General features: G+C 48.8%; 1 long non-coding RNA gene across 1 annotated transcript in view, besides 2 other annotated features; it reads left to right on the plus strand.

The window, feature by feature from the left end:
- Nucleotides 1-4,394, plus strand: part of LINC01768 (long intergenic non-protein coding RNA 1768) — a 77,840-nt gene extending 73,446 nt beyond the window's left edge. Inside the window, exon 5 of the long non-coding RNA XR_001738180.3 lies at nucleotides 4,208-4,394. This is a non-coding gene — a long non-coding RNA (long intergenic non-protein coding RNA 1768). The remainder of the gene's footprint in view (nucleotides 1-4,207) is intronic.
- Nucleotides 4,682-4,751: an enhancer, noted in NCBI's record as "active region_1455". NCBI's record gives its function as "activates an Ori minimal core promoter by ATAC-STARR-seq in GM12878 lymphoblastoid cells {active_cell/tissue: GM12878}" and the evidence as "EXISTENCE:reporter gene assay evidence [ECO:0000049][PMID:35858748]".
- Nucleotides 4,942-5,161: an enhancer, noted in NCBI's record as "active region_1456". NCBI's record gives its function as "activates an Ori minimal core promoter by ATAC-STARR-seq in GM12878 lymphoblastoid cells {active_cell/tissue: GM12878}" and the evidence as "EXISTENCE:reporter gene assay evidence [ECO:0000049][PMID:35858748]".

Consider the following 8,621-nt stretch of genomic DNA (forward strand, 5'->3'; position numbering starts at 1 on the left):
TTTGTCAGGTGTAGGGGTGCATAATGGAAAACAAGATGGAAGCAGAAGGTGGGGACCAACACGAAGAAGGCCCTGGCATCAGTCAAGGGTGCTAGCATTTACTCTGTGGGTGTGTGGAGCCACTGTCAGCACTAGGTGAGGCCACAGCAGGGAGGACAATGCCCACTGGTAGGACTGCTATGCCACATGAGGGCTAGAGCAGAGCAAGGTCAGACCAAGAGCGAGGAAGGCCTGACAGGTGCCCCAGCATCCTGTATGCATGCAGGTCTCTGCAGCCTTTGGAGAGCCTAGACAAGCACCCCGAGTTCTGCTAGTACCTGGGTTAAATTGACAGAGTGAGTTCTGACCTGCAGCTATGGCATCCTGCCAGAACCCATGACCTCACCCAAGTGCAGAGGGCCCATGACAAGCATGTGACACAGCAGTCAGCACTGGGACAGGCCACAGTGGGATGAAAGGGTGGAGCTTAGCTTAGAAATAGGGGAGGGAAAAGGTTACTTCCAGCAGAGAGAATGATCTGGATTCGTAAAATCCATTCATTCACTCATGCATTCATCCATTCAACAAAGCTTTATTGAGCACCTAGTATATATGGGTTCCATGGGAGATAAAAGCTATCTCTACTCTCATAGTTCAGTAAGAAGAAGGGTAAGAAATGTACATAAACACAAGAGAGACACAGAGACCAAGAACCATGGGGCCAGAGGAGAGAGGAAGCATTCCTGTTGAGAGTAAGGGGGAATGTTTCCCGAGGAGGGGACATTTCAGACGGGCCCTAAAGATGAGTACAAGGAGATTCCAACAAGAAGACATGGGAGGGGCAAGCAGGGATGGCAGGAGACCTTGAGCTCCTGGGGGTGGGAACCATGGCAATCTGGTTCCTAATTGTCCCTGGTCCCCATGTGGTGATCCGTGAGCATTTGTCTTGTTTGTTGAATGAGACAATGACTGTTTCCTGGTCCCGCCTTCGCTCTTCACCGGATCCACCACTGATTACCCAAATTTCTCCCTCTGCAGCACTTAGTCTCCTGAGCTCTGTTCCTTCTGCCAAACCCACATCTTGGACCTCAAAGGCAAAATATCCATTTCTCTGACCCCACAGACCCTCTCCTCATATCCTTGATCTCACCCCTGCCTATCCCCAGGACCCTGCTCCTTCAGTGGCCTTGTCTCTCCATCTGCTTAGCTTCTCCCTCTGTGGGCTCCTTCCCTTTCGCTGGTAAACCTGTATAAGTGTCTGGCACTCCCCCAAGCCCTCACTTCCTAATGAGATGCTGCATTTCCTAAGGACAAGTCCAGGCAGCACCAGATGTGCCTCTTCACGGACCCCATCAGACAGTGCCCTATGCTTGGAAAACATTCATTGAATGGATGGATCCAATCCTGTCATCTCCTAGCATCCTCAGTGGTTCTCAATGTAAAGTCAAATGTCACGTGTATGACCTACAGATGCCCAATGAATGGGATTGGTCTGGCCTGTCTCTCACTTCCTCTAGTCTTCCTCCCCAGCTCCAATCATTCCTGAGTAATTATACTACCCAGAACCCACTACACTGCCCTCGCCTCTCCTGAGTTTGTGCATGCTGTTCCCTCTCTCTGGAATGAATGCTCCTTCCCTACTTCTGTGCCACGTGCACTTTTGCTCTCAATGCAGCTCAAGGGTCTCCTCCTCCCATGAGACTGTGAGCTTCCTGGGAGTAAAACATGGTCCTAGTTAATAACTTTAGCCCTAGTGCCTAGGTAGGTGCTCAATAGATGTTCATTAAGTAAGCAAATTAAGGAATGTAGGGAGAAGTGCTAGTGATTCCAGAGGCATACGCTCAATTTTCCTCTTGAGTCCTGGCTCCCACCTGCAAAAAGGGGTGAAATTGCTTAGGGGCATGGAGTGTCCAAGAAGACATGAACCCATAGTCTGGTTTCCTCCAAACTCAGCTCTAGGAAGATTCTTCTTTTAAGCTGGCTTAAAGAATTAGGCGTGTGCTCAATGATTTTCTTTTAATTCAAGGCAGAACTGGAGTATGACTTCTATTGTCATGTTCTAAAAATATATCTTCTATGGTTCTCTGCTTTCTTTGCAGTAAAATAGCCTTGGCATGACCCTGTTTTTGCATAACTGAAGACACAATTTAATGAAATAGCACTTTATGAGCTTTAAGGGAAGCAAATATCTGACCTAATCAGGGGTGAAAGAAGGGGAGAGAGACTCTATGCCAGGCTGTTCCATCTCTGTTAGGAAAGGCCCAGGGCCAGGCAGTTCCCAGCTTTTCAAGGAATGTTGGCACAGGAGTCCAGGATCAATTATCCTCAATCAATCAGCAAATATTTATTGAGTGAGTACAGCATGGGGGGCTATAGCTGTGGAAAATAAGATGCATGTGAACCTGGTTTGCTTTCTATGGTGAGCTCCTTCTGGTCATATCGTTCCTATTACTTCTATGAATAATTGTAGCTAGTAGTCACTGGGCACCCACTCTGCAACATGGGCCTGGTTATATACTATGTTGACTTCTTGTAACACTCTGAGACAGGTAGTATGACTTCCACTTAGTAGATGAGGAAATTGAGGATCATAAAACTTCCACACTGCCCCAGGTCACAAAGCTAGAAAGTAGCGGATCTGAGATCTGAATGTAGATCTGATTTCAACCCCAAAGTCCTTTACTAATGATAGCCAACATCACATGAGTCTTCTAAGATTACAGAGCATTTTCCAGTAAATTTCTAATTTGATTCTGTCACTACTCATGGGAGGCCAAAATTATGATAATTCCCATTTTACAGAGAAGAGAACTGAGGCTTGGAGGATTCAAACAACTTGCCAAAGGTCCCTGTTGGTAAATGGTATATCCAAAAAAGATCTGAGCTGAAGCCAAATCCTGCATTCCTTCTACACCTTGGCAAGGACTGGATCATCGCTTCTAGCAAACAGCTGGACACTGACAGGGAGAATTCTCACCTAACAGCCCCAGAGAGCACCCTGGTGCCAAGCCATGGACGGCCCTGCCTGGACTCTGCCCCAGAAGCCTGCCCATGGAGGACAGAAGAGGAGGCTGCTCCAGGCCAAGTGACCAGCTGCTCTGGGGACTCGCAGCCCAGCACTGGGAGCTGGCAGGGAGCAGGAGGGGCAGAGCGCTCTGCCTGGGCTCCAACAAACAGGCTTTCTAGTGAATGGACCAATTGGCGGTTGTGGGTTATGTGGCCAATTGTGGTTAGGGGAAGGGAGGAGCTCCTGGAGGAACACTGTATTCCTGCTCCTGTCAGTGACTCCGAGAGAGTTCTGGACTAAGAGGTGGGAGCACAAGCCCTGCCCACTCCTCTGGGCTCCAGAATTAAGCCCCTGCCCCACATCCTCCTGGCCCCTGGAGCAGGGGTTCTCCCCATGACAGGATTCAGAAAGGGCTTTCCTGAGTGGAACCAGCCTTGGTCATATGCCACCCCACTCCCCGTCCCCCACCCCCCACCACAATTCCCTGACTGAGGAGGCATTAGCACAGTCACTCTGGAGTCCCCCTTTAATGACATCTGAGGTGGCACTGACTGAACAACAAATGCAGTCCCCTCCCTGCTTCACCAGCCACTCAACAATGACCACTCTACCCCTTCTCTAGCTATATTCTATATTCTATATATTCTAAGCAATGCTCTAGGCATTTTATGCATAATCACCTAACTGATCCTTATACCAACACTATGAGTAAGGCACTATTATTATTATTATTATTATTATTTTTGAGACGGAGTCTCCCTCTGTCGCCCAGGCTGGAGTGCAGTGGCGCGATCTCAGCTCACTGCAGGCTCCGCCTCCCGGGTTCACGCCATTCTCCTGCCTCAGCCTCCCGAGTAGCTGGGACTACAGGCGCCCACCACCATGGCCGGCTAATTTTTTGTATTTTTAGTAGAGACGGGGTTTCACTATGTTAGCCAGGATGGTCTCAATCTCCTGACCTCGTGATCCACCTGCCTCGGCCTCCCAAAGTGCTGGAATTTCAGGCATGAGCCACCGTGCCCGGCCGAGTAAGGCACCATTATTAACTTCATTTTACAGATGAGAAAACTGAGGCACAAAAAGTTTAGGTACCCTACCCAGGGTCATGGAGCTATCAGGAGGAAGAGCTGGGATTTTAGCCCAAGCAGTTCGGTTACACAGCTAATGCTCTTACTCACCACACTGCACTCGTGAGGGCTGTGAGACTCTTCCTTCCCCCAGGGAGAAGTGCCCAGCAGCAGCCAATGGAAAGGGGACTTGCCTGCTGGCTGGAGGACCCCGGCCTGGGGCTCACGGCAGCCACAGAAATGAGTGAGTATTGCTGGTTGTAGTTGGAGTCACCAATGCCTTTCCTTCCTTCACATGGGGCAACCTTAGGAAGGTGTCCTCTCCCCACTTACTCTCCTGCTCTGGGCCTCCCCCATCTCTGCCCATCCTGGCCTCCATACAGAGCATCCAAGCATCACCTTGGACCTCCCAGTTGGCACTGGGCAAACCAACATAGAGAACCAAGACAAAGCACAACCTTAAATCATGTAAGTGGAATAGAGGAGTCTGTCTCTCTGGCTGTATCTAGGACCTGATTTCTTCTAATTCCCAATCTCTTCTCTACTCCAGGTTTCTGATTTCCTTCAAGTGACTTCTGAAGCCAAGCCACTCTGGGCCTTTGGGGCACTGGAACATTTCTTCATTGTCCTACTCACTGCCCCTTGATGTGTGTGTCCCTGGCAGTCTGTGAGGAGGGAGGCCATGTAATTCAACGAAGTGTGGGCAAGCACAGGCCAGGCATGCAGCAGGCACCAAAAATGTCTATTGTACTAATAGATGACTACAGACAGTGTAGGTTCTCACTTCCTGTTTCTAGGTAATTCTCTGCCTCGTTTACTCTGAAGTCACACAGGGCCAGGATAGGAAGTGGGCTTGCTGTGATGCTTGTGCACCAGCTGACACATCATCCTTTTCGTGATTCTCTTTTTCCGATGAAGGTTGGAAACTTTCATTCTAGAAGGGTCCTCAGCTGAGGGATTGTGACTTTAGGGAGGTAGAGAGGGCACTTGGGAAGCCAGAATTCACTGTGGATAAATGTTTGTCAGTTTCTGGGTTAGATTTTTCAGTTCTGAGGAGTTCATGAGAGCAACCTAAGAATCAGTCCTGCTGAGGTTCAGGAGACAGTGCCGGGCCTGGCTGTGGCGGGAAGCTCCGGGAGAGGAAAGTGGACAGGCTGCTGATACAGTCTTGCATTGCAGCAGTGCTTGCCCTTCAGGGGTGACACAAGTCCTGAAGCCACCATGTATTTCTGTGGCTCTGGGACAAGGGGGACAGCTGACTTTCCCCCAGCCATAGGATGGGGTGGTCTCGACAAATATCAATAGTTCCAAAGTACCAAAGATTGGCTCTTGGTAGTTTGCCAAACACAAAGGCTTCACAGCAGCCCTAGGAAGCTGGCAGGAAGCTGCTATTCCCATTTAATTGACAAGGGCATTCAGTCCAAAATCCTTCCCTGCTGGCTGCTTTACCACCCTTCACGCTGTCTCTCACCTTGAAAGTGGGAGAAGACATGACTGAAAGGGCAGGCTGCAGTGCAAATGACTATAGGTGCGTGGCTGGGAGATGGGATGCTCTGGCTCTGACGTCCTGCTCCCAAACCTGGTCAGCCAGGAGTCCTACATTCTGGCCCTTTCTGTAGCACTGGGACAAGAAAGCAGCATTTTCTCTGCAGCCCCAGCTTCCAAGGCAGCTGCTGTCCACCCCCAGTCTACTTTCTAAAGAGCCACAGAGCCACTTAGGTGGAAGAAAGAGAGAAAGGTGGGAAGGAAGGAGAAAAGGAAGGGAGAAAGGAAGAGAGAAGGAATAGCAAAAAGAAAGAAAAGGAAAGAGAAAGAAATGAAGAATGAAAGGGAGAACAAAAGAAAGAAAAGGAAAGTAGGAAAGAAAAAAGAAGAAAGGGAGGGGGAAGGGAGGAATGCATGAATAAGGGGAGAAAGAAAGAAAAAAGAAAAGAAAGAGAAAGGAAGAAAGCAAGCTCTTTATGATAGAAGGCCATTCCCTAGAAAAGATCTCAAGGGGAAATTGGCTGTCAAATAGTTTCAAGGAAATGACATTTGGACAACCAGCAAATGAGGGTTTCCTCCCACTTCCTGCCATCCATCTCCATTTCCCTCTGTTCAATCTCTCTTCTCCCTCCAGTGGTTCATTCCTCTGGCAAATAGCATCTCTCCTATGCTCCCTTCTACTCTCCTCTGGGGTCAGCTGAGCACTGCTTTCTTGATGATGCTACGTTAGGAAATTATCAAAACCCCAAATCTCAGTTGCTTCCAATTCCCCTATACCTGTCCCAGAACCTGGCCTGGGACATGACTTCACTGGTAGCAGGGAGGCTAGCAGCTAAGCTGTCCAGGGTAAGCATGCAGAGCTGAGTCCTCTTACTCCAGGACTCACTCTGGAGGTCCTGACCCTCAACTCTTCATTCATGTGTGACTCTGGAGGAGGAGGCTTATGCTGTCTGGGTCTCCATTTTTTCATCTGAGGCAACATGGGATGGAAAATCTATTTCTGTGGTACCAGCACTCCTTGCCGATGGATGGGTACAAACAGCTTGCATGGATGTGAAGAGCTAAGACACCACGTGCAGACGGACACCATCCTGCTGGCTTGGCCCTAAGACTGCAGGCAGAACCTGCCAGCCACAAGTCTCCCAGCCAGCCAGGCAGACGCAGTGGGGCTGGGGGGCTTGCGGAGGGTGGAGAGAAGAACATCAGCTCCAGGGCAGGAGCAAGTGGAGGAGACTCAGGTGAGTCACTTCAGGCTAGCCATCAGCTTTTCCAGCCTCAATTTCCCTGTGTCTGGTGACAAAAAGTGTCCACATCAAGCAGATCCACAATCCCTCCTTTTAAGGTAACAGAGAAGAGACAGCTGCAAGTCCCACTGTGGAGTCACGGTTATCAAGGACCTTGCTCATCCCTCTGCAACTCCGTGAAGGCAGAGCCTCCCAGAGCCCCACAGTCTACATGTCCAAAGAGCTTTCATAACTGAACCCCTACTCTGTGTTGTGCATGGCCCTAGGGACTCCCATATGTCAGCCCATTTGACCTCATGACCACTCCTTTGGGGAAAGTCTTAAAATTGCCACTGTACAAATGAGGAAAGAGAGGCCCAAAAGGCTAAGGGGTTACACAGCAAAGTTACACAGCAAATGAATGGCAGAGCTGGGACTAAAATCTGGCCTTGGGACTCCCAAGTCCACTGCACCATTGTGGTGTCATTGCTTTAGAACCCATGTGAGTGAACAGATAATAATAACAATAGCACTTACTGTCTTCAGGCCCTGTGCTAAATACTTCACAGGCCTTATCTCATTCAATACTCATAACACCTTGGTCAGAGAGAGAAATTAACATCTCTATTTTATAGACATGGGAACTGAGAGAAGTTTGTCCAATGTCACACAGCAAATGACTTGGCAGAGCTACCAAGGTCAAATCACTTGTAAGTAGTGGAGTCAGGTTCAAACCAGGGTATGTAAAGAACTCCAGTGCGGGGAATGAGGACCTCAGGCCTTGCACCAACGTGGAGAATGATTACGTTCCTCCAGAAGCTGAGCAAAGTCCAAATGCCAGCCTCAGTGAACCTGGGCCAGGGCTGGGTTGGTGAAGGAAGGAGCAAGTAAAACTGGACCCCTTTCTCAACAAGTCTGTTGGTTTATCTTTCTCAGGTTACTTCCTCTAACCTTTTATCAGTCTTAAGAACTGTGGTGTCAACATGTTATCTGAAATCATTATTGTACAGTGACCATGTCATTGTTGTATCCCCAGGGCCCAGCACGGTGCCTAGCATCTGGTAGCACATATTTGTCAAAAGAACAAAGTATTCTCTAATGGCATCATTCAACTCAGCCATCATTAACTTGGTACCTATTATGTGCTAGGTACCATTGATCCAGAGGTGACTGAGCATGGGTGCCACCTGGAAGAAGTCTCGGTCTAGGGTGGGGACAGAATGTAACCATCGGTACCACCTTAAACACTTCGAAAAGTACTGTGGAGAATGAATGGATGGCAAATGACTTATCAGAGCCAGCATTGAGGAATGAGCCAAGTCCAATGGGAACACAGGAAAAGGACCCTTTGCTCTGCCAGGAGAGTCACAGAAGGCTTTGCTGGTGGAGGATGAGATGCAATTTCAGCCTGAAATGATGAGGAGTTTGTCTTCAGCCATGTGGAGAAAGGAGCATTCCAGGCAGAGGGACCAGTCTGAGCAAAGGCATTCGGGTGTAAAATTATTGCCTAGGATTGGAGTGAAGGATATGTAGCGCTACTGACAAGAGACTCCTCTTCAAGAGCAGGCCACATATCCTTTATTTCCCAGGGGGTGGAAACGGGCAACCTCACAGAGGAATTGAATCATAATGAATTGAAGAAAGAAAAATCTCCTGAAGTTGGCATTATAATTAATAGGCTTAGGCTCATCCTACTAGTCCTCACTTAGACTCATTCTCATGTAGAAACAAAACGTGATTAATCACCTCAGTAAGTGCAATTTCCAAAAACATCCAGGGAAATCTAGGGTCCAGGTGCAGGACCTTTCCAATCTGAGTTGGATTTTGCCTCCAGGAGAGAGCATGGGTACCAGCCAGCAT

Source organism: Homo sapiens, chromosome 1 (assembly GCF_000001405.40).
Source record: "Homo sapiens chromosome 1, GRCh38.p14 Primary Assembly".
NCBI classification, from domain to species: Eukaryota; Metazoa; Chordata; class Mammalia; order Primates; family Hominidae; genus Homo; species Homo sapiens.